General features: G+C 36.8%; 1 protein-coding gene across 19 annotated transcripts in view; it reads left to right on the forward strand.

Annotated features, from left to right (window-relative positions):
• BBS9 (Bardet-Biedl syndrome 9) overlaps nucleotides 1–26795 on the forward strand; it is a 506483-nt gene that overhangs the window by 187960 nt on the left and 291728 nt on the right. For all 19 annotated transcript variants that reach the window (NR_145412.1, NR_145411.1, NR_145413.3 and 16 more), the window contains 2 exons: nucleotides 19197–19378; nucleotides 23653–23729. Coding sequence is in view for 16 of the 19 variants with exons in the window: in NM_001348036.1 (NP_001334965.1) it covers nucleotides 19197–19378; nucleotides 23653–23729 (259 nt within the window). In the remaining 3 variants the exon portion in view is untranslated. The remainder of the gene's footprint in view (nucleotides 1–19196; nucleotides 19379–23652; nucleotides 23730–26795) is intronic.

The raw sequence follows: 26795 nt of genomic DNA on the forward strand, positions 1-26795 counted from the left end.
TACTGTATGTAGATTTATAGTGTATCTTGAGTTCACTCGTGAAACCCCTCCATATCTATTCCTCTTTTTTCAAGGTTGTTTTGCTATTTTGGGTTTTTTTGCATTTTTGTAGAAAGTGTAGAAATCAACTTGTTACTTAAAAAAAAAAGCTGGCTGGGATTTTCATCTGGATTATGTTGCATCTGTAGATCACTGGTGAGAATCAACATCTTTTTTTTTAACAATATTAAGTCTTTAAGGGTGTATCTTTTTAAAGCATATTTCTGTTCAAATAAAGTAGAGGCAACACCTTTTCGTCCATAAGGCTATTGGGGGATTAAATGAGATAATGTGGTTTCACCCCCTAAAGATGTTTGAGTTTGTCTCCTCTCTCTTCCCATCCATCTTGCCTGGGCTACCATCTTTTCTTTCCTGGATTTACTGTGTTAACTCTATCCAAAGTGGTCTCTTCACATTGAAATCAGAAGAGATCTTTGTCAAAGATGAATCTGATCATGTCACTCCTGTACTTAAAACCCTTGCATGGGCCAGGCGCAGTGGCTCACGCCTGTAAGCTCAGCACTTTGGGAGGACAAAGAGGGCATATCACATGAAGCTAGGAACTTAAGACCAGTTTGGCCAACCTGGCGAAACCCCGTCTAATAAAAACACAAAAATTAGCTGGGGATGGTGGTGTGTCCATCTGTAATTCCAGCTACTTGCGAGGCTTAGGCATGAGAATTGCTTGAACCCAGGAGGCAGAAGTTGCAGTGAGTCGAGATCACACCACTGCACTCCAGCCTGGGCAACAGAGCAAGACTGTCTCAAACAAAACAATACAAAACAGAACAAAACAAAACTCTGTCTCAAACAAAACAAAACAAGATAACAAAAGCAAAACCCCCTTGCATAACTTCCCATTGCTTGAAGATAAAATTCACCACCTTTAATGGAGTCTAAAGAGCCTGAATAATTTAACCTTTTGTGATTCCTTGGCCCAATCTTGACTTAATTGCCCTCTGAATTTTCTTTGCTCTTGCCACTCTTGGCTTCTTTATTTCACTGGATGTTTCATGTATTTGCTTCTTTTGGAGTCTTTACATATATTGGTCCTTCTTGAAAGAAGCTTTTACAACATTTGTCCTCTTATAGCTCTGCTCCTCCTTTCCCAAGTCTCTCTTCTTTGTATTTTGGCTTAAATGTCACTTTTTCAGACAGTGAGGTCTCTTGTAACCATTGTCCCTACCCTTCAATCCCATATTCTCACTGCCTGGTTCAAGTTCCTTTGAGATCTCTATTTATGTATCTATATCTAGTCTGGCTACTTTACTTTTTAAATAAAAATTATTATTTTTTAAAAAATATTTTAATTTCCATAGGTTTTTGGGGAACGGCGGTATTTGGTTACATGAGTAAGTTCTTTAGTGGTGATTTGTGAGATTTTGGAGCACCTATAATCTGAGCAGTATACACTGAACCCAATTTGTAGTCTTTTATCCCTCACCCCCCTTCCTCTCCTTCCCTTCCCCAGTCCCCAAAGTCCATTGTATCATTCTTATGCCTTTGCATCCTCATAGCTTAGCTCCCACTTAAGAGTGACAACATATGATGTTTGGTTTTCCATTCCTGAGTTACTTCACTTAGAATAATAGTCTCGAGAGCTGGGCACAGTGGCTCACTCCTGTAATCTCAGCACTTTGGGAGGCCAGTGTGGGCGGATCACGAGGTCAGGAGTTTGAGACCAGCCTGGCCAACATGATGAAACCCCGTCTCTACTAAAAATACAAAAGTTAGCTGGGTATGGTGGTGGGCACCTGTAATCCCAGCTACTTGGGAGGCTGAGGCAGGAGAATCGCTTGAACCTGAGAGGCAGAGGTTGCAGTGAGCCAAGATCGCGCCACTGCCCTCCAGCCTGGGTGACAGAGCAAGACTCTATGTCAAAAAAAAAAAAAAAGAATAATAGTCTCTAGTTCCATCCAGGTTGCTGCAAATGCCATTAATTCATTCCTTTTTATGGCTGAGTAGTATTCCATTGTATATATGTACCACAGTTTCTTTATCCACTCATTGATTGATGGGCATTTGGGCTGGTTCCATATTTTTGTAATTGCAAATTGTGCTGCTATAAACATGCATGTGTAAGCATCTTTTTCATAAACTGACTTCTTTTCCTCTGGGTAGATACCTAGTAGTGGGATTGCTGGATCAAATGGTAGTTCTACTTTAAGTTCTTTAAGGAATCTCTGCACTGGTTTCCACAGTGGTTGTACTAGTTTACATTCCCACCAGCAGTATAGAAGTGTTCCCTTTTCACCCCGTATATGCCAACATCTATTTTTTTTTATTATGACCATTTTTTTGCAGGAGTAAGGTGGTATTACATTGTGGTTTTGATTTGCATTTCCTTGATCATTAGTGATGTTGAATATTTTTTCATGACCAAGAACCCAAAAGCAAATGCAACAAAAACAAAGATAGATTGGTGAGACTTAATTAAACTAAAGAGCTTCTGCACCGCAAAAGGAACAGTCAGCAGAGTAAACAGACAACCCACAGAGTGGGAGAAAATCTTCACAATCCATGTATCTGACAAAGGACTAATATCCAGAATTTACAAGGAACTCAAACAAATTAGCAAGAAAAAAACCAAACTATCCTATCAAAAAGTGGGCCAAGGGCACGAATAGACAGTTCTCAAAAGAAGATATACAAATGGCCACAAACATATAAAAAAGTATTTTTAATTTTTGTGGGCACACTGTAGCATTATATTTTTATGGGGTACAGGAGATGTTTTGATACAGGCATACAATGCTTAATAATCACATCAAGGCAATGGGGGTTTCTTCACTTCAAGTACTTATCCCTTCTTTGTATTACAAACAGTTCAGTTATACTCTTTAGCTAAATATACAAAAAATTATTGTTGACTTTAGTCACCCTGTTGTGCTAGCAAATACTAGATCTTATTCATTCTTCCTATCTATATTTTTGTACCCATTATCCATCCTTCTCCCACTACCCTTCCCAGCCTCTGGTAATCATTGTTCTACTCTTTATCTTCATGAATTCAATCGTTTTAATTTTTAGCACCCACAAATAAGCAAGAACATGCAAACTTTGTCTTTCTGTGCCTGGCTTATTTCACTTAATATAATGACCTGCAGTTCCATCCTTGTTGTTGCAAATGACAGGATCTCATTCTTTTTATGGCTGAATAGTATTCCATTGTGTATGTATAACAACATTTGCTTTATCCATTCGTCTGTTGATGGACACTTAGGTTGCTTCCAAATCTTGGCTATTGTGAATAGTGCTGCAATAAACATGAGACTGGATATCTCTCCAATCTACTGATTTCCTTTCTTTTGAGTATATAACAGGGAGTGGGATTGCTAGATCATATGGTAGCTCTATTTTTAGTTTTTTGAGGAACTTTGAAACTGCTCTTCATAGTGGTTGTACTAATTTTCATTTCTAACAACAATGTATGAGTGTTCCCTTTTCTCCATATTTTCCTCAGCATTTGTTATTGCGTGACTTTTAGATAAAAGCCATTTTAACTGAGGTGGGATTATATCTCGTTGTAGTCCTGAAGAGTTTCCTCAATGTTTTTTTTTGTAGTAGTTTCATAGTTTGAGATAAAAGATTTCAGTCTTTAATCCATTTTGATTTGATTTTTGTACATGGGGAGAGGGGTCTAGTTTCATTCTTGTACATATAGATATCCAGTATTCCCAGACCCACTTATTGAAGAGACTGTCCTTTCCCCAATATATGTTCTTGACAGCCTTATCAAAAATTATTTCACTGTAAATACATTCATCTACAGTGATGTTTCTGGGTTCTCTCTTCTGTTCCATTGGTCTTTGTGTCTGTTTTTATGCCAGTACCATGCTGTTTTGGTCACCATAGCTCTGTAGTTTAATTTGAAGTCGGGTAATGTGATCCTTCCAGTTTTGTTTTTCTTGCTCAGGATAGCTTTGGCTATACTGGGTCTTTTGTGCTTCCATATAAATCACTGGATTTTTTTTTGTATTTATCTGAAGAATGTCAGTAGTATTTTGATAGGGATTGAGTGTATAGATTGCTTTGGGTAGTATGGACATTTTAACAATATTGATTCTTCTAATTCATGAACATGGAATATCTTTCCGTTTTTTTCTGTCCTCTTCAATTTGTTTCAAAAGTGTTTTATAGTTTTCATTGTAGAGACCTTTTATTTCCTTGGTTAATTCCTAGGTATTTAATTTTCTTTGTAGCTTTTGTAAATGGGATTACTTTCTTGGTGTCTTTTTCAGATTGTTCACTATTGGTATATAGAAATGCTACTGATTTTTGTATGTTGATTTTGTATCTTGCAAATTTACGGAATTTGTTTTTTAGTTTTTTTGGTGGAGTCTTTAGTTCTTTCCAAATGTAGTATCATATTGTCTGCAAACAAGGGCAATTTACCTTCTTCTCTTCCAATTTTGGATGAACTTTATTTCTTTGTCTTGTTGAATTGGTAGGTAGGACTTTTAGTACTATGGTGAATAACAGTGGTGAAAGTGGGCATCCTTGTCATGTTCCAGATCTTAGAGGAAAGGCTTTCGGTTTTTCCCATTCAGTATGATATTAGCTATGGGTCTGTCTTACATGGCTTTTGTTGTGTTGAGGTATATTCCTTCTATACCCAGTTTTTTGAGGGTTTTTTTTTATCATGAAAGGATGTTGAATTTTATCAAATACTTTTTTCAGCATCAATCGAAATGATCATATGGTTTTTGTCCTTCATTGTGTTGATTTGATGTATCACAATGATTGATTTGCATATGTTGAACTATACCAGCATCCTAGGGATATATCCCACTTGGTCCTAATGAATGATCTTTTTAATGTGTTTTGAAGTTGCTTTACTAGTATTTTGTTGAGGGTCTTTGCATCAATGTTCATCAGTTTTATTGGCCTGTAATTTTCTGTTTTTGATGTGTTTTTGCTTTATTTTGGTGTCAGGATAATACTGGTTTTGTAGAATGAGTTGGAAAGTATTCCCTCCCTCTCTGTTTTTTTGTAATAATTTAAGTAGAATTGGTGTTAGTTTTTAAAAAAATATTTGGTATAATTCAGCAGTGAAATCACTGGGTCTCAGGCTTTTTTTTTTTTTTTTTTTTTTTGACTGGGAAACTTTTTATTATGGCATCAATCTCATTACTTGTTTTTGGTCTGTTTAGGTTTTGGATTTCCTCATGGTTCAATCTTGGTATATTTGTATGTGTCTAGGAATTTATCCATTTCTTCTAGGTTTACCAATTTATTGGCATATAGTTGCTCATAGTAGCCACTAATGATCCTTTGAATTTTTGCAATATCAGTTGTACTGTCTCCCTTTTAATCTCTGATTTTACTTATTTGGGCCTTCTGTCTTTTTTTCTTAGTCTGGCGAAAGGTTTGTTCATTTTGTTTATCATCTCAAAAAATAACCTTTTCTTTCATTGATTTTTGTATTGTTTTCTTTATTTCAATGTCATTTATTTCTTCTGTGATGTTTATTATTTTTCTCTTTTAGTAATCTTGGGTTTGATTTGCTTTTGCTTTTCAGATTCTTTAAGATGCATCATTAGGTTGTTTATTTGAAGTTTTTCTACTTTTTAACTGTAGATGCTTATAGCAGTAAAGTTCCCTTCTAGTACTGCTTTTGCTGTATCCCATAGGTTTTGGAATATTACATTTCCATTATCGTTTATTTCAAGAAAATTTTCAATTTCCTTTTAACTTCTTCATTGATCCACTGTTCATTAAGGAGCATATTGTTTAATTTCCATGTGTTTACATAGTTTCCAAAATTCCTCTTGTTATTGATTTCTAGTTTTATTCCATTTTGGTCAGAGAATATTCTTGATGTTGTTTCAGTTTTTTTTGAATGTTTTAGGACTTGTTTTGTGGCCTAACATTTTGTCTGTTTTTGAGAATGATCCATGTGCTGAAGAAAATGTGTATTCTGCAGCCGTTAGATGAAATATTCCACAAATATCTGTTACTTCTATTTGGTTTGTAATGCTGGTTAATCCGATGTTTCTTTGTTTATTTTGTGTCTGAAAGATCTGTTCAATATTGAAAGTGATGTGCTGAAGTCTATAGCTATTATTTTACAGGGTTCTACCTTTGTCTTTTGCTCTAGTAATAATTTGCTTCATTTATTTGGATGCTACAGTATTGGGTGCATATATATTTACAATTTTTATATCTTCTGGTTGAATTGAGTTTTTTTTAAATCATTATATAATGACTTCCTTCGTCTCTTTTTATAGTTTTTGTCATGAAATCTATTTTGTCTGATATAAGTATAGCTACTCTTTGTCTTCTTTAGTTTCCACTGGCATGGAATATATTTTATCATTCTTTTATTGTTAGTCTATTTGTGTCTTTATATGTGAAGTGTGTTTCTTGTAGGCAGCTGATCATTGGGTCTTTTTTTAAAAAAATTCATTAAGCCACTGTATGTCTTTTGATTGTACAGTTTAGTACTTTTATGTTCAGTTTTCATTATTAATAATTAAGGACTTACTCCTGCCATTTTGTTCTGTGGTTTCTGGTCTTCTCTTCCTTCTTTTCTTCATTCCTGTCTTCCTTTTTTTTTTTTTTTTTTTTTTGAGACAGGGTCTTGCTCTGTCACCCAGGCTGGAGTGCAGTGGCATGATCTCAGCTCACTGCAACCTCTGCCTCACGGGTTCAAGCAATTCTCCTGCGTCAGCCTCTCGAGCAGCTGAGATTACAGGCAGGTGCCACCACACCTGGCTAATTTTTGTATTTTTAGTAGAGACGGAGTTTCACCATGTTGGCCAGGCTAATCTTGAACTCTTGACCTCAAGTAATCCACCTGCCTTGGGATCCCAAAGTGTTGGGATTACAGGCATGAGCCACCACGCTTGGACCCCTGTCTTCCTTTTAGTGAAAGTTATCTTTCTCTGGTGGTACATTTTAATTTCTTACTCTTTATTTTTTGTGTCCCTGTTGTATGTGTTTTGATTTGAGTTTACCATGAGGCTTGCAAATATGATCTTACAACCCATTATTTTAAACTGATGAACACTTAACACTGATTTCATAAACAAGCAAACAAATCAAAGAAACAAAGAGAAGACTAATAAAAACTCTACAGTTAACTTTGTCCCTCTGCTTTTTAACTTTTATTGTTTCTCTTTATATCTTATTGTACTATGTATTAAAAAGTTGTTGTAGCTCTTATTTTTGATTCAGTTCATCTTTTAGTCTTCTTACTCAAGATAGTTTACACACCACAGTTACAGTGTTGTACTATTCTATGTTTTTCTGTGTCCTTGCTATTACAGTAAGTTTTGTACCTTCAGATGATTTCTTATTGCTAGTTAACATCCATTTTTTTTTTTTTTTTCCAGATTGAAGAACTCCCTTTAGCATTTCTTGTAGGGCAGGTCTAGTGTTGATGAAATCTATCAGCTTTTGTTTGTCTGGGATAATCTTTATTTCTCCTTCACGTTTGATGGATACTTTTGCTGGATATACTATTCTAGGAAAAAGTCTTTTTTTTCTTTCAGTGCTTTAAATATATCATGCTACTCTCTCCTGGCTTGTAAAGTTCCCATTGAGAAGTTTTCTGCCAGACATACTGGAGCTCCATTGTAGGGCATTTGTTTCTTTTCTCTTCCTGCTTTTAGGATCCTTTCTTTATCCTTGCCTTTTGGAGTTTGATTATTAATGATCTTGCAGTAGTCTTATTTGTGTCAAATTGGCTTGCTGTTCTGTAACCTCCTTGTACTTGAATATTGATATCTTTCTCTAGGTTTGTGAAGTTCTGTTATTATCTCTTTGAATAAACTTTCTACCTCTATCTTTGTCTCTACCTGCTCTTTAAGGCTAATGCCTTTTAGATTTACCTTTTTGAGGCTATTTTCTAGATCTTGTAGGTATGCTTTATTGTTTTTAAATTATTTTTTCTTTTGTCTCCTCTGACTGTATATTTTCAAATAGCCTGTCTTCAAGCTTACTAATTCTTCTACTTGATTAGTTCTGTTGGTGAGGCACTCTGATGCATTCTTCATTATGTCAGTTGCATTTTTCAATTCCAGAATTTCTGCTTGATTCTTTTAAATTATTTCAATGTCTTTGTTAAATTTATCTGATAGGATTCTCAATGTCTTCTCTGTGTTATCTTGAATTTCTTTGTGTTTCCTCAAAACAGCTATTTTGATTTCTCTGAAAGGTCACATATCTCTGTCTCTCTGGGATTAGATCCTTGTGCCTTATTTAGTTTGTTTGGTAAGGTCATGTTTTCCTGGATAGCCTGGGTGCTTGTGGATATTCATCAGTGTCTGGGCATTGAAGGGTTAGGTATTTATTGTAGCCTTTGCAATCTGGGTTTGTTTGTACCTGTCCTTTTTTCTGAAGGCTTTCCAGGTATTCAGGGGGACTTGGGTGTTACAATCTAGATTTTGGGTCACTGCAGCCATATCTGCATTAGGGGGCACCTGAAGCCCAGTAACACTGTGGCTCTTACAGTGGTATCACCTTGGTGGACTTGGTTGAGATCCAGAATAATTCTCTGGATTACTAGGGAGAGACTCTTGCTTTCTTCCCTTACCTTTTCCCCAACAAAAAGAGTCTCTCTCTCTCTCTGCTGTGTTTCCTGGAGCTGGGGGAGTAGTGACACAAGGACTCCCATGGCCACCACCAATGGGAGTATGCTGGGTAAGAGCTGAATCCAGAATGTACTGGGTCTCATCCAAGGCCTCTCATAACCACTGCCTGGCTACCACTTACGTGTGGTCAAGTCCCTAGGGCTCTACAATCATCAAGTGGTAAAGCTAGCCAGGCTTGTGTCCTTCCCTTTTGGGCCATGAATTTCCTGTGGCCCCAGGCGGGTCCAGAGATGCTCTCTGGGAGCCAGGGTCTGGAATCAGAAACTTAGGAATCTACCTGGTGCTCTGTTTTAGTACAGTGAGCTGGTACTCAAGCCACAAGACAATGTCCTTCCTACTCTTTTCCCTCCCCTCCCCTCCCCCTCCCCTCTTCTCCCTTGAATCTCTCCCTATTACTACCACCTCTAGGCTTGCAGTGAGTACTATCTGGCTACCGCTGATGTTCACTCAAGCCCCAGGCTCTTCAGTCAGCTTGTGATGAATGCTGCCAGGCTTGAGCAGTGGGTTCCCCTCTCAGGGCAGGTCCTAAAATGCTTGCTGTCCGAGAGCCAAGGATTAGAATTGGGGACCTGAAGAGCTTGCTTGGTGCTCTACTCCACTGCAGCCCAGCTGGTACCTAAGCTGTAAGACAAAGTCCCCTTTACTCTTCTCTCTCCTTTTCTGAAGCAAAATGAGTCTCCCCCATGGCCTTTGCAGTTGGGAATGTGCTGACCGGAAGCCAGCACTTCTCTGAATTCCACTCAAGGCCAATGACGAGTACTGCCTGGCTACCACTGTTGACTATTCAGGGCCCAAGGGCTCTTTAATCAGTAGGTAATGAAACTTGCCTTGAGTGGATCTTTCACTTAAAGGCAGTGGGTTCCCTTCTGGCCCAGGGTATGTTTAGAAATGTCATCTAGGAGCTAGGGCTTGGAATGGGTACCCGAGGTCTCTGCTCAGTGCCTTATTCTACTGTGGATGAGCTGGCATCCAAGTTACAAGACAAAGTACTCTTTACTCTCCTCTCTCCTCTCTTCAAGCAGAAGGAAGGGGTCTTTTCCAGAGCTGTGCACTACTTTGCTGGGCGTTCGGGGAAAGGTGGTGCAAGCACTCCCTTGGCTGCCCAATCTGGTGTCTTATTAAGTCTTTTGCCCTCCATGTCCACTGGCACTGAGCCCAGTGAAGCACTAGGACTTGCCCAGGAATTGTGGTTCTTGTGGCCTAGACTTTCAAATTTATTTGGGACCACAGAACACTTTACCTGCAGTGGCAAGGTTTCCTGGAACTCAGTTTCCTACCACTTGGATGGACAATTTCATTTTTTATTCTGGCAGAATAGAAAATGAAAATGAGGTGGAGGAACATATTATGTAGGGCCTTGAAGACTCTTGTAAGGATTTGAGCTTTTGTTATGAGTGCCAGAGGAGCCACCGGAGGATTATAAGGTAACATGAATATTTTTACTGCTTTGTTGGAAAGTTACTATAGAGGCACATGTATAGAAGTGGAGAGGCTGGTTAATAGCAGTTATCAAGGGCAGATTAAAGGGTGTTTGTTAGGCTTGGTGTGGTGGTTCACACCTATATTCCCAGTGCTTTGGGAGGTTGAAGCAGGAGGATCACCTGAGGCCAGGAATTCATGACCAGACCTGCAACATAGCAAGACCCTATATCTAACAACAACAAAAAAATTAGCTTGGTATGTTGGCATGCATCTATAGTCCCAGCTACTTCGGAAGCTGAGGCAGGTCACTTGAGCCCTGGAGTTTGAGTTACAGTGAGCCATTATCATACCACTGCACTCCAGCCTGAGTGACAGAGTGAGAGTCTGTCTCTAAAGAAGAAACACTAAAAAACAAATATTTGTTTCATGCATGCAGTAGTGTACTTGGTGAGAAGTGGTTGGATTCTGGACATATTTAAAAAGTAAGGCTGGCAATATTTGCTGATGGAATTTATGTGGTTGCAAGAAAAAGAAAAGGGAGGGGGAGTCAAGGATGGCTCTAAGGTTCTTTCTGGATGAGCAGCTTAAAGAATGGAGTTACCAATAGCAGAAATATGAAAGATGCAGGAGGGTAGCTTTGAGTTGGAGAGGTGGGGCCAAAATCAGGAACTCATGGGTAGCCATGTTGAGCTTTAGATGTCTATTGGCCTTCTAAGTGTAGCTGTCAAGTAGGGGGCTGGATGTACATGTCTGGCTGGAGATATAGAGGTGGGAGCTGGCGTGAAGAAAGTATTTAAAGTCATTAAGACTGAATGAGGTCACCAAGGCTGGAATCCTTTGCCTTTATTTTGTCCATTGTTTTTCATCTGTGGGGATCTACTTGTAGGTCAAGATCCACCTTCTGCATCCTCTGCCCTGTGAAGCCTTGCTCTGCTCTCTCATGCAGGCCCATTGCACTCTCTTCTTACTGTGCTCTATCTACTACATTGGATTGCAATTGCTTTTATTTAAAGTAAGTTTGAAGTCCTCCCAATTAGACCAAAGATTTTTATACAGCAAGCCTCATGTCTTCTTTGCCTTTATAGCTTCTGTTGTATAGCAGATGCTCAATAAAAATGTCTGAAATGATTAATGGTGGATTGATTAAAATATGTTCAAGTGCCCACGTCCAGTACTTTTGGACTGAGGAAGAGCTGTGTGAACTGAGTGTGGCTGACTGCACTTGAAGGGAAATGCCTTTCAATCATATGCTCCTTACTGAGGTAGAATAAAATTTGGGGTGCAATAAATACTATTTAGGGTTTTAAGATTTCCTTGGTATCTATATATAGTAGTAAAAACCAGACTTTGACAATGTGATAACCTACAATGTTCCTATTTTGCATAAAATGAAGCCAAACAAGAGAACATTAGGTCCAATGCATGTTCTTTTTATTTGTTTTTAAAACTAGTATTCTTTTGTTTTAGTGTATTAGGAAATGAAAGAAACCATTTATTTTCTATCTATTGAGCTATATTTCAAATAATTTCATGTTACACATTTTATAGATTGGCTTTGTTGGAAAAATAAAACTAGTTAAATGTTTTTAATCCCACAAATATTTAATTTTTAAGTCACTGATTGAAATTTGGTCACTGGGAATGGAAAATAGAACTTTTTTTTTCTTAAAAAAGGATAAGGTTTTCCTTCTTTTATTTATTTATTTATTTATTTATTTATTTATTTGTTTATTTAGAAACGGAGTTTCGCTCTTGTGTCCCAGGCTGGAGTGCAGTGGCGCGATCTCAGCTCACTGCAACCTCCGCCTCCCGGATTCAAGTGATTGTCCTGCCTCAGCCTCCTGCCTATCTGGGATTACAGGTGCACATCACCACTCCCAGCAAATTTTTGTATTTTTAGTAGAGATGGGGTTTCACCATGTTGGGCAGACTGGTCTCGAACTCCTGGCCTCAGGTGATCCACCCACCTTGGCCTCCCAAAGTGCTGGGATTACAGGTGTGAGCCACCGTGCCTGGCCCTAATCTTATTTTGTAACTATAAGACAAAATGAAAATAATTCATCATTTCACTAGTTAGGGATAGTCACATCCTATTAACATTTAGGTATTTTTCCTAATTCATGTTTTATACATATATATTTATAAACAGAATAAAATGTACATGCAGTATTATGTTTTACTTTTACATTTATTATTTTTTCTGATAACAGATATTTGATAAGATATGATTTTTAATGGTTTCTAGACATTCTATTATAGATACACCACAATTAAAAAATATTCCCCCCCTATCATTTGGGTTGTTTCTAAATTTTTAAAATAACCATGAAAGTAGATTACTGCATAAAAGACAATAGTATTTTTATGGTTTTTGATATATTTTTCTAAAATGTTCTCTAAAAGGATTATAACAAATTTACATTGGTATCAAAAGTATATGAGAGTATGTCTCCGTGTACCTTCTCTAACAGCTGGACACATTATTAAATACAATCTTTTTGCTAGTTTGAGGTGTTAATCAAATATACCTTTTTAAAAAGTTTTAAAATGTACATTTTTTGATTTTGAAAATTTTTCCATTTATTTATTGACTGTATTATTTTTATGTGTGAATTGTCTGTAGATGGCCTTTATTTAACCTTTTTCTGTTGGGTATAGTATCATTTTCATTGATTTATAAGAGTTCTTTACATATTAGATTTAACATATAAAATTGTGTTTTTTTTTTGGAGACAGAGTCTCGCTCTGTCGCCTGGGCTGGAGTGCAGTGGCATGATCTCGGCTCACTGCAACCTCCGCCTCTCCAGTTCAAGTAATTCTCCTGCCTCAGCCTCCCAAGTAGCTGGGACTACAGATGCATGCCACCACACCCGGCTAAATTTTTTGTATTTTAGTAGAGATGGGGTTTTACCGTGTTGCCCAGGCTGACCTCAAACTCCTGAGCTCAGGCAATCTGCCCACCTCAGCCTCCCAAAATGCTAGGATTACAGGCATAAGCCACCGCGCCTGGTCTATAAAATTGTTTTTATAGGTCAAAACCAGTTGAATATCAGGAACTTCACATGGTTTAACTTAAAATGTTGTATTTTATATTGGTTGCCAATGTTTTCTGAGTTTGTCCTTTGTTCTTATTATGTCATATTCTTAAGCCTATAACAAGTTTAAAATTTTAATGTAGTTTAATTTAGAGATCCCTTCCTTTGTAGCTTCCTCTGTTGCGTTCTTATAGCAAAAGTTTTCTTACCATCTCAAAGGGAGATAAATATTTTTGTAGTTTCATATTTTTAAATTGAACTTTAAAAATCCATCTGGAATTTTGTTTTAATGTGTTGTTAAGGCAGGAATCTGTTTACTGAGTGATAGAATCATTATTTACAGATTCCTGAGCAAAATTCTGTTGTTTAATTTCATGCCCCATTGCTGAAATTACAAAATTACCAAACGTCCTAGGAATGTAATATCTTTGACCCTGATTCTTCATAAAGTACATTATTCTAGTGACTTAGCTCAGTCGATGCACTTCACAGACCGATAATAATTCAGAGACCTTGATTTTGTCAATGTTAATGATGCTTTTAAGACAGAAGCAATAGGGTACACGGTATTGGATTTAATTGATGGTTCTGTTCAGCATAACATTCTGTCATTCATAGAACCTTACTTATTAACCCACATGAACAATATTGTTAAAATTTTCATTAGATGCAAAAATCCTCAACAAAATACTAGCTAACCGAATCTAACAGCACATCAAAAAGACAGTACATTATGATCAAGTGGGTTTCATTCCAGGGATGCAGGGATGATTTAACATATATAAGTCAACAAATGTGATATATCACATAAACAGAATTAAAAACGAAAATCATATGATTATTTCAATAGACACAGAAAAAGCATTTTATAAAATCCAGCATGGCTTTATGATAAAAACTCTCAATAAAATAGGCATAGAAGGGGCTTACCTCAAAGTAATAAAAGCCGTATATGACAAACCCACAGCCAGCATCATGCTGAATGGGGAAAAGTTGAAATCATTTCCCTTGAGAATTGGGATAAGACAAGGATGTCCACTTCCACCACTTTTATTCAACATAGTACTGGAAGTCCTAGCCAGAGCAATCAGACAAAAGAAAGAAATAATCCAAATTAGAAAAGAGGAAGTCAAATTGTCACTATTTGCTGATAGTATGATTGTATGCCTAGAAAACCCTAAAGACTCATCCAAAAAGCTCTTAGATCAAATTCAGTAAAGTCTCAGGATACAAAATCAATGTACGTAGATCAGTAGCACTGCTATACACTAACAACAACAAAACTGACAATCAAATGAAGAACTCAGTCCCTTTTACAACTGCCAAAAAAAAAAAAAAACCACACACACACACAACTCCCCCCAAAAAACCACCACCAACAAAAAATCTTAGGAATATACTTAACCAATGAGGTGAAAGAGCTCTATAAGGAAAACTGCAAAACACTGCTGGAAGAAACCATAGATGACACAAACAAATGGAAACAAATCCCAAGCTCAAGGATGGGAAGAATCAATATTGTGAAAATGACCATAATGCCCAAAGCAATCTATAGATTCAATGCAATTCCCATCAAAATACCGTCATCATTCTTCGCAGAACTAGAAAAAACAATCCTGAAATTCTTATGGAACCAAAAAAGAGCTCGCATAGCCAAAGCAATACTAAGCAAAAAGAACAAATCTAGAGGCATCACATTACCCAACTTCAAATTATACTACAAGGCTGTAGTTACCCAAACAGCATGGTAGTGGTATAAAAACGGGCACATAGACCAATGGAACAGGATAGAGAACCCAGAAATAAAGCCAGACTTCGAGCGAACTGATCTTTGACAAAGCATACAAAAACATAAATTCAGTAAAAGACACCCTATTCAATAAATGGAGCTGGGAAAACTGGCAAGCCACATGTAGAAGAATAAAACTAGATTCTTATCTCCCACCTTATACAAAAATCAACTCAAGATGAATCAAAGACTTAAATCTAAAACCTGAAGTCATAACCAAAAGCCACCTGTACCCCAAAAACTATTGAATTAAAAACAATTAAAAACAAGAGGCCAGGTGTGGGGCTCACGCCTGTAATCCCAGCACTTTGGGAGGCTGAGGCAGGTGGATCACGAGGTCAGGAGTTCGAGACCAGCCTGGCCAAAATGGCAAAACCCCGTCTGTACTAAAAATATAAAAATTAGCTGGGTGTGGTGGCAGGCGCCTGTAATCCCAGCTACTCAGGAGGCTGAGGCAGGAGAATCGCTTGAACCCGGGAGGCAGAGGTTGCAGTGAGCTGAGATCACGCCACTGCATTCCAGCCTGGGCAACAGAGCAAGGCTCCATGTCAAAACAACAACAACAACAACAACAACAACAACAAAAACAAAAAAGAAAAACAAGATTGAAGGCTTTAATGTCCCTAAACAAATTACATACTATATTATCATTCTTGATACAGCTTTTTGAAATTTATTCATTCACCCTTGTTTTGGTGCTATGTGTTTTTTTAAATTGTGGTAAAATACACATAACATAAAATTTACCATTTTAAGCATTTTAAAATGTACAGTTCTGTGGCATTAGGTACATTCATACTGCTGTGCAATCATCACCACTATCCATCTCCAGAACTTTTTCATCTTTACAAGACTGTATCTCTCAACCCCCTCCCCCAGCCCCTGGAAACCACCATTCAACTTTGGGTCTCTACAAATCTGACTACTCTAGGAATCTCATCTAAAAAGAATAGTTTTTAGAGTACACGTGGTTTTTGCTTACATGGATAAGTTCTTTAGTGGTGATTTCTGTGATTTTGGTGCACCTGTCATCGAGAAGTATATACTGTACCCAATATATAGCCTTTTGTCCCTCACCCCTCTCCCAACCATCCCCTCCTGCCAGTCCCCAAAGTCCATGTCATCATTCTTATGCTTTTGCATCTTCATAGCTTAGCTCTCACTTATAAGTGAGAACATACCATATTTGGTTGTCTAAGTTACTTCACTTAGAATAATGGCCTCCTGCTCTATCCAAGTTGCTGCAAAATACATTGTTTCATTCCTTTTTATGGCTGAGTTGTGTTCCATGGTGTGTATACACATTTTCTTTATCCACTCATTGGTTGATGGGCACTTAGGTTGGTTTCATATCTTTGCAAATGACATGAATAGACAATTCTCAAAAGAAGATTTTTTTTTCTTCAGCCAACAAACATATAAAAAAGTGCTCGACATCACTAATCATCAGGGAATGCTACTCAGCCATAAAAATAAACAAACTAAGCTATAATGTCTTTTTTTTTTTGAGACCGAGTCTTGCTGTGTTGCCCAGGCTGGAGTGCAGTGGTCTCGGCTCACTGCAACCTCTGTCTCCTGGGTTTAAGTTATTCTCCTGCCTCAGTCTCCTGAGTAGCTGGGATTGTAGGTGCCTGCCACCCACACCTGGCTAATTTTTGTATTTTTAGTGGAGATGGGATTTCACCACATTGGCCAGGCTGGTTTTGAACTTCTGACCTCAAGCGATCCACCTGCCTCGGCTTTCCAAAATGCTGAGATTACAGGCGTGAGCCACCATCCCCAGCCTATAATGTCTTTTGCAATTGATTTTTTAAAAAGTAAATTGCTTAAGTTCTATAATTACCTTAGCTGTCAAGACATTCTGGTGAAATTTGTTCTTTTGGTGAGGGAAGACCCTGGCTACTCTCTTTACCACTTGAACACGTGAAATACCAGTAAAAAGTGTTTTTAGAGAGTCTGAAGAAATATATGTATTCTCTATTATCCAAACTCTTCCTATTTGAACTCAGAAACTTAATAGGTTCAGATAATTTTTTAGATAAATGGCTTGTATCTAAATTGTTGCCATTTGCTATCTAAATTGATGGAATAAAACTGATTTAGTAATAAACCTTTCAACTCAAAGACCAACTCAATTTAGATAAGGAGGAATACTTGTATTGGGTAATGCTAGCTTTTCTGTATGATGGACTGTTCAAAGGATGAAGATGAAATGGAAATGCCTGTTTGAATTCAAAGAACTGATGAATCTCACATTCTCTGAGAAGCCCCCCCCAGAGGTCTGCGCTTTAGCACCCTAGAGTTGCCTGAGGACTCATTGGGTTCGTAGGGCTTAGTGGGGCTAGCTAGAATGCGGAACAGACTACAGTCACAACTCAGAGGGAAGGGAAGATTTGCTCTCTTGAAATGGGCTTGTCAGAGCTGAAAGTTGGGATTTCCATGGCCACTAGATGGCTTCAGTTACCTGCAAAGAAAGGTTCAAACCCAAAGGTACTCTGGGGTTGCTTTTCATACTTTAAGAAGATCATTCCATTTTTGGACTATTTGTTTTCTGAGGGGTAGATGGCAGAAGCAATTGATAAAACTTAAAGTTTTTGAGGATTATCTAGTCTTACCTTCTCATTTTACATATAAAGAATATTTAGGAAAGCTTTCCCAAGTTGACTGAGCTCTACAGGAGCAGCATCAGAGCCAGACTCAAGTCTCCTGCGTCCTAGTCTAGTTCTTTAGCTGTTGAACCAGTGACAACAATCTATTTTTTATTCCTCTCAAGTAATATGACAGGGTTGCATGTCACTGACTATGCCTGAGTCCTGGAGATGATGTGTATTGGAATGTTGTGTTTAAGGCAGGTGGTGAAGTGGATGCTGGTGACCATCTTATGGGCAGAACTGAGCAATGGTAGTATCTACTCCCAACCCAGTTGAGCTTTTAGATTAATGAAATGACTACCTGCCATGATCCACTGTTGGGGAGTTTTAAACATTTTTGTTCATTCTAAATAATCCTAGACTCTTACATGCCTTATCTGTTATATACTTTATGTCCTTTTCTCTTCTTCAGATGAATAGCAACATTTAAACATCTTCTTTTCTCTCACAATTTTTCTATTTTTGTTTACTTTTAGAGACAAGGTCTTGCTATGTTGCCCAAGCTGGATTCAAACTCCTGGGCTTAAGTGATTCTTTGCCTCTTCAAGTAGCTGGGAGTACAGGCTTGTGCTACTGTGCCCAATTTATTATTTTTGATTAATATCTAACCTTTAGAACCAAGTAGAAAATACTTTAAAAAAAAATCAAAAGTTTCTGTAGAAAACCTAACAAACAAAAGTGAGTCAAACAAATCCATTATGTATCAACTCAAAATGGCTTATCACGATGTTGAATTTTTTTGTTTTTATGGCAAACTTAGGGAGGAAGCAAATACAGTATTCATCTCAGCTACTTTTTATGACATGTTCACAAAAACAACTTTAAAAAAATTGTGTGCTAAAATTATCCTTAATTTATATATTATGGCTAGTTTCTAGAGTAAAACAGACCTCAGGGAGCCTAAGAGAGAAGGAAGAGTGAAAGAATGGGGAATAAAAAAGATAATGAGGATGAGAAGAGTGATAGAGAAAGAGCTAGTAAATGGGACAATTGGCTGCTTCTAGCTAAAAGTGAAGAGAAAGAGAGAACAAACCAGAGGGCCACTTGAATAGGAGAGCGTGTGAAGGAAGCTGTGATGGGAGGACCTGGGAAAGAGGGCAAACATGAATCCTAAGGGTAGAGAGGGAAAAGGATGAGGAAAGACCGGGGGCACTTTTTTTTTCGCAAGACCTCCGATGGCTTCCCACATCAACTTCGTTGGTTTTCTGTCCCCTGGGTTGTCCTGTCTTCACTCCTGTGCCTCCTTCCTGGTCTTCAGCCAGCCAGCAGCCCCGCTCCATCTCTTGGTCCATTGTACCTCCAAAGTGTTGTTCACATGCTTATTACGGAAATGCCAAGTAGTAGCTGGAAGGAGGATTAAAAACAGTACTTAAAATGCTCTTAGAGCAGGATTTGCTTTGTAGTTAGGTCCCCAAAAGTGGTAGCTATTATAATAATTAAGCTTTTTTCCCGGCCTTAGTGGACCTTAACATTGGGAATACTTCTGTAAATACAAATCGTGTTTGAAACATTTGAATTGAGTCTTTGAAGTAAAACTTTAGAAATAGATATATAGTTATTTTCTTAATGGTGTGTTGATGCTGAATTGAGTAAAAATGTAGTTGGTCAAGACTAACTCTACTGAAATTTAAAATTATGTCTCATTTTCTCTTCCTTATTGTAGTGATTTAAAGGGAGTGATAGTCACTCTGAGTGATGATGGTCACTTGCAGTGTTCATACCTGGGGACAGATCCTTCTCTGTTCCAAGCTCCAAACGTTCAATCTCGAGAACTAAACTATGATGAACTTGATGTAGAAATGAAAGAACTTCAGAAAATCATCAAAGATGTTAACAAATCACAAGGTATCTCATTTGCAGCTTTTTATTATTTTAGTATTCATTATGAAATTCATATTATCTTGTAGATAGATATTATTTTGTGTATTTGTTAATTTTCTCCTCTAGGCTTAATTAAAATCATATTTGTAAAAACAGTATTGCTCTTTAGCACACAAGGTCTTTATGTCTACTTTGTATGTTATGGCTTCTGAAAACGTATTTTATTTAAGAAAGTGCTTTTGTTGTTAATGTTTCATGGACAGCACTATCTAGTTTTTTTCTTTACATGCTAAGAAAGGAAGAAGTACTTCTTTGGGTGGTGGTTTTAGGCCTTGAGAAGAGCATTAAAATTTAGAGTGGTCATTTATTAACTTCTTATACTCCTGAAACAACTTTAGTTCTTCTTTTAAAAGAAACCAAAGCACATGAGCTACCATTTTGCTACTAAAAATGTAGTCATTTGCAGCTTAGTGACATAATTTATGTTTGTAGTTAATTAACCATCCAAATGGTGTGTAGCTTGCGGTATGCTGATTTCTAATGACTCAGAGGCTGATGATATTTTCAGTTCCCGAGTTTTGAATAACTCAATATTATCTTACTTTGGGACTCAAAAGGGTATAATTTTTTTTTGTAAATTAAAAGGAGAAACAAAACACCAATCCTGCAGTTTGAGTTGGACATGTGAAAAGCATTACTTCAAGTTCCCTTTTCAGGGTCAGGTAAAAGTATTTTTTTAATGTGAAAAAATATGGACTATTTTCACATAAAAGAAATGTTAAAACAAGTAGGAATAATAAAAGAAGCAGAGCATCAAAAGCCAACCAAAACAACAGAGCCAATCTTAATCCTGATCCAATCATTTTACTAGATTTATGTACTTTTGAGTCTATGTTACCAACATTGTATTCCTCTGGTCCTGAGGAATTGAGATAATATATTTTTAAAATACAAATATTAAAATAAAGTTATTATGCTTTGGTTTCACACATTCTTTTAGAAAGTTTTGAAAGTAAACCAGTGAAGTTCAGGTCTTTCAAGTACCTCCAATTACTTAAAAATCTATTTGTTGTCAGCGCTGCCATGTCAAATAGAGAGTGGTTAAAATGGGATGTGTCATATCGCAGTATATAATTTTTTGTTTCAATTTTTGTTACTAGCATTTTTGGGAATAATAGAATTATAAGTCTTGTTTTGTCATTTAAAAATATAATTGGGGAAGGGTGGCATAGGCATGAAACATGAAATTTCCAGAGTTCATTAAATAATATGGCTTTCATTTCAAATTTTGTCCTGAGATTTTGCCCTTTCCATAGTAATGTTCCAATAATATTTTGATTAACATTAATTGAATATGAAATTTCTCAGAAAATCCCTTACAGCTAAAAGTTATTTCTTGGTGGTTATAGTGATGACCTTGGGTGAGAAAGTTTAGGCTGTTTTACTTGTCATTACCTTGATCCTTCAGTATGTCTTAAAATAACCGCTAATTAAGATAGGGATACACCCACAGACTTAGGTGTAAAGTGCATGATTTACATAACCTCAATTTTTAATTAATGTTTGAAGTTCCTTGCCCCTTCTATGCCACCATCATTTAGTTTTATTTCTGGGAAAGAAACAAAGGGAAACTTTTTAAACTGAGAGGTATTTAAAACATTTTATTTCTAGATATGGAAAAAAATTTAGTAACTTGTACCCTTATAAAACCATGGTATGTTTGTTTATTAAAATACCTGTAATTAATAAAAGCACAAAATTGTTTTATTACAGTTTTAGCTTCTCTTTATTATGAGAAGTTAAAATGCTGAACTTTTTGATGACCCCATTATTCATTTTAATGTCACTTATTTTAGTTTGGGGGCTTTAACTTACAAAAAATGTTCATAGCCTTGTGGGTTATGTTCAGTACTTAAAGCTTTTAAAAGTGTTTTCAAAGGAAGAGTTGCAGCAAAATTTAAAGCCAGTTTAAAGAGTACATTTTGTTGTACACATGGTGTATATTATCTACCGTAATAAAAGTGTTTTTGAAGCTGATTTTATGTGTGTAAGTTATAAGAGGAATGTATGTTGTAAGCATGAAATCATAGTAATAATTTCTGTATGGCTCATGGATTCTGAAGCTTTTCATACTCAACTCATTAATGTGAATCCTGCCTAGTATTTTTGTTACCAGTAGTCAACAACATCTACTCGTAGGAACTTTCGAAGACAGAATTTTATTTATGATTTAGATAGTTGATCATGTTGTCTACCTGGCATGAGTATGAAGGACTGGGTGCAACATTGAGATAGGTGCCCATACAGCTGTGTCTTCAGAAAGGGACAGAGAGCAGTAAGACGTGGGGATATAAATGAAAGTCTGCACTCCATTTGAAATGTCCAGGATAACTAAGCTGATGATAACACTGAGTAGTAGAATCATTTGTATTTTGTGACATTGTTCATTTAGGATTCTGTCTGGCTACATGTCACAAGATACCCAAATAAGATAGAGGTTTCTTTCTTTCTCTTGCAAAAGAAACCTAGTGATGGGCAGTCCAGGGTTGGCTTGGCAGTTCCACAGTCATCAGAGACTCTTGATTCCTTCTATCTCGGAGTCATATATTGGTCCTGCATGGCTTTTGGAACTCCTGCCCTCGCATCTGCTGCTGAGTCAGCCCCCTTAAGGAGCTTTCTTGGAAGCCACACCCTGAATGGCTCCTACTTAAATCTCACCAGCCACTCCAAGCTGCAAAACTGGCTGGGGAATTACATGACTTAGCTGAGTATTTTGTTGCTTAGAATAAAGTTGGGCTTTAAGTAAAGAAGAATTGAAGAATGGTTATTGGGATGGGCAATGAACAGCCATTTGTACTCTCATTAAGTTATGGAAATTCCCATTCCAAATCGTGCAGTTTGGTGGGAATGCCTGATAGCAGTTGTAGGCAGTTCCTTTTTTTGTGAGATAGCTGATTCATATTTTCAGTCAGCCATCCTCAGAGTGTGGGGAATGTTTCCTCTCAGGGTCACAGGGTGATCTCAGCAATTCTAGGTGTTATGTGCAGATATGATTTCCAGGGAAGAATCATCAGGCTATTTCTCCTGAGTCTCTCCTCTTATTAGGGAGGAATAGCTTTCCCAGAAACATGTGCCAGCTCTCTCCACTCCCAACTTCCCTTACCTTCCATCTGCCAGGATTAAGTCCCATGTTCATGGCTAAAACAACAAATGGTCAGTGGAAGGAAATCATGATGATTGGATTTGACCGTGGAGCCTGGAAGGGGTGACTTTCTCTGAGATGAAGGTGAATAGCTCCACAAAATTAGGGTTCCAATACACAGAGGGAGGAGGGAAGAATGGATGTTAAGTAGGTAGCCAATAGTTTGATATGTATATATATTATATATATGAATATATATAATTTAAAAATGTTTTTTGTTTAAGATCTTTGTTGATACTATGAATAAATATCTCATTATGCAACATAAACATGTTTAAAATTATGAAAATAACATGTGTATGGTAAAAATAATTCAGTACTAAAAGGATAAATAATGAAAGGTGAATCTTTGTTCAACCCAAGATCCTAGTTTCACTCCTTAAAGGCAATCCTTATCAAGAGCTTTTGTGTATTTGTCTAGAAAATATTCATGTTTATGTAATTGTTTTGACACAAATATGTGCATATTAGACACATTGTACTACATCTTGCTTTTTAAAAGTTAATAGATATATTTTGGAGTTTTTAAAATATCAGTATGTAAAGATGGACAGCACCCTTATTTATGACTTTGGGACATTGCATAGTACAGATATACCATGATTTATTTAATAATTAGCCTATTAATAGATATATAGATATTTAGGTTGTTTTCATTTCTGAAAAAATAACTACTAACATTAGAGACCTCCTTGGGCATGGTTATGGGTATTGGATACATTCTTGGGAGTAGAATTAAGTCACAGGATATGTACATTTTACATTTTGCTAGTTCTAGCCAACTTACCTTCACAAGGGCTGTACTAATTTGGGCTTCCACTAGTAGTTACAGAGAGGGCATTGAGATTCCTAATGCTGGTCAGTCAATGGCTCACATCTTAGCAAATATCTGCAGAAAAAGACAATATTTTTTACCATATTATAGAGGGAAAGAATTAGCATCAAGCTTCTAATACTGTAATGCATTAGTTTTTTCAACTTGTGAGTATGTTTATGGGGTTTTTTTTATATGTGGTATAGACAAACCTTTAAAGAAAAACTATATATAGAAAGTTTTACTTTATGATTAAATAATTTTTCTTTTTTTAAATCACAGGTGTTTGGCCCATGACTGAGAGAGAAGATGACTTGAACGTTTCTGTCGTGGTTTCTCCTAACTTTGATTCAGTTTCTGTAGGTGTACTTGCAGATTTTAAAGGGGTTTATAAGAGTGGTAAACTCTGATGAATTAGGACCAAAATGCATTGGTTTAAAGTTTGGTCCTCCAAGTAGACACTTCAGGGAGGATAACAAATTGTAGGCCTTGTTATTTTCTAGATAAAAACATTAGTAGCCCCTTAGTGCCAGTAAGGAGCTCCTTGGGCAGGATTTCTGTTTTAAAAAGAAGTGGGGTTGTAGGGGAAGAGAGAGCAGTAGGAGGGCTTCTTGCCCTAGTTCTAATCCTACTTAAAAAAATTTTTTTTCAAACTTTCTTAGTACCATAGCATTGACGTAATACTAATGTAGCTGAATAATACTGACCCTACCAGATTTTTGTTGGAGATTCAGTTAGATAAGGTTTGTGAGTGGCCTAGCTCAAAGTTTGATGATTTCTAGTCTTTAATACATTATGGTGGTGGTGGTGGTAGGGTAGCTTAAGAGTATATAGTTGGTCCAATACTTAATTTTTCCCCTGTTTCTATCTGTGTGACACAAGGCAAGGTACTTAATTTTCTTAGTCTCAATTTTCTCATCCACAAAATGGGAATAATAATAGAATCTACTTTGTTGAATGTTATGATAATTGTTATGATTGTCATTATCATCAAATTACATTTTACTTCTTTCTACATTATAATAATCAACATCATCATAATCATTATGATTATCACAACCATCTATGTCCATGAGTTGTCTTGTTCACTGCTGTATCCTTAGTGCTTGCCAAATAATGGGTGCTCAATATATATTTGCTCTATGAATAAGTGAATTAATACAACTGAGAAATAGAAAGGATGAAAGGAGGACTATTCTTGATTATATTACTTCATCTCCTCACTTAAGTTTTCTATAAGCACTTGTTAGGATGTGATTGATTATATCTCACTGACTGCAGTTTATCTGTGTAGAAACAGATGATCACCAACAGAAATTGGTGTAGAAATTGATCTGTGTAGAAATCTGTGTAGAAATTGATCACCAACAGATGATCAATTTAGGGAAGTGGTTGAATTCACTCATTTTACAATATTTGGAGTTCATATCATATAATTCTGCTTGGGAAGTGTCTTCATTATTTAGGTATCAGAACATACTTTAAAACGTATATCATGAGTGTCAAAAGATTAATTTTAGTATAAACAGCCAATCCAATTTGTGATAAAAATCACATTAACATTACTATATTATAGTAAATTGGGTACACAAAAAAGTAGGACTATATATGAAAGAAACATTCACCCAGCTGAGTCACATAGTAGAGGCACTGTTTTAAATATTGGCCATTCAGCACACACCATTTTTCATTCTACCTGAAGGGTGTAGTCTAAGTGGAACATTTCTGCTTAGTTAGCTGACAAATGTACACATATTTTCTTGCTGTGGAAATGACTTTTTTTTCCTTTGGGCAACTTATATAAGTTTTTCTAGGTTCTCTTCAACATAGGCTATTTGGAATGAGGAATTCCCTTTCTGTTTTTTAGGAACTTTTAGTCTTTGTAGGAAAATTCCTTATGTAGTAGCACTGTGTTATAATGTATATTTCCCTATTGGTAACCCTGAATGCTATTTCCTCTTAAGTAGGTGTCTCTTTCCAGCTTCATTTTCCCTGTGTTACTATTTTTTCTTTCTTAAGAGATTTCTTGAGAGTATCATATTCATCTCATTGGAAAACATTAGCCCTACAATTTATGTGGCTTTGGTGCCATGACGTCTTCTTATAGCCATTTCTTTCTTGCTATAGTTTTATGTTCCCAAAGGACTGCTGTCCTTGAAGTATCTAGGTGTTTAGTCATGGATTGATATGAGCAGGAAACAGGAGATGTTGGTTTCTCTTCTAGATCTGTGGATAGCTAAATGTAAAATATTTCCTGGATTTTAGGTATTAGAGCACAAAGCCTGGATTAATATTTTACTTTGAATCATTATTATGAAAGCACACATCTCAAAAAAGTAATATAATTTATATTAGAATGGAGTCTTTCTTAGAGGAGATAAGCATTGCTATCCCATCTTCCTTACTGAGAAGCAAGATCATAGTTTAAATATGGTTTCCTGTGGAGCCATAAGTAGAATATGAATCTCTTAACTTTGAATTCTGCTGATGCTCATTACATCATAGAATCCCCATTGCTTAGAAGTGGCTTAGTTTTTCTTAGTTAAAAATACTTCAAGTAAAAAAACGCAATGGATCATATTCATTGGTTGGATAGAGACATAATTTTAATTGGTCCCCAGAATTCATAACGGTATTATTAGAAAATATGTCACCCCTTAGTCTTATTCTATCATAGAGCATTTTCCCCTACCAATGTATCACTCTAAAAAATAAGTTATAAGTGATAAGGGAAGTGTTTTATGTATTATATTATACTATGTATTCTTTAAGAGGAAGGAGCAGGTAACACGAGGTGACGCTCAAAGAATGCCTATTGAATTAGTTTATGATATGCACTGGTTAAAAAAAAGTTTCCCTTCCCTTCCTTCCATTCCCCTCCCCTCCCCGCCCCTTTATTTTTGAGACAGAGTCTCGCTCTTTCACCCAGGCTGGAGTGAAGTGGCGTGATCTGGGCTCACTGCAACCTCCGCCTCCCGGGTTCAAGCAATTCTCCTGTCTCAGCCTCCGGAGTAGCTGGGATTACAGGTGCCTGCCACCATGCCCAGCTAATTTTTGTATTTTTAGTAGAGACGGGGTTTCATCATGTTGGCCAGGCTGGTCTCGAACTCCTGACCTCAGGTGATCCACCTGCTTCGGCCTCCCAAAGTGCTAGGATTACAGGCATGAGCCACCGCACATGGCCTACTTTTATTTTATGGGTGTAAGGCCACTCAATCTTTATATCATTAGCTGCATGTCTTAGATACATGTTGTTAATCAGAATAACACATACCTTACACAGGGTGAAAATACAGGGACCTGAAAGAATGGCATAATATTTTTCTGGGACATACAGGGAGGTCTTCTTCTATGCAATATAAATAACAAGTTAATAGAATTAATACTTTCAATATTTAAGTAAATCTGGGAATGGAGTGGTTTGA

Source organism: Homo sapiens, chromosome 7 (genome assembly GCF_000001405.40).
Source record: "Homo sapiens chromosome 7, GRCh38.p14 Primary Assembly".
NCBI lineage: Eukaryota > Metazoa > Chordata > Mammalia > Primates > Hominidae > Homo > Homo sapiens.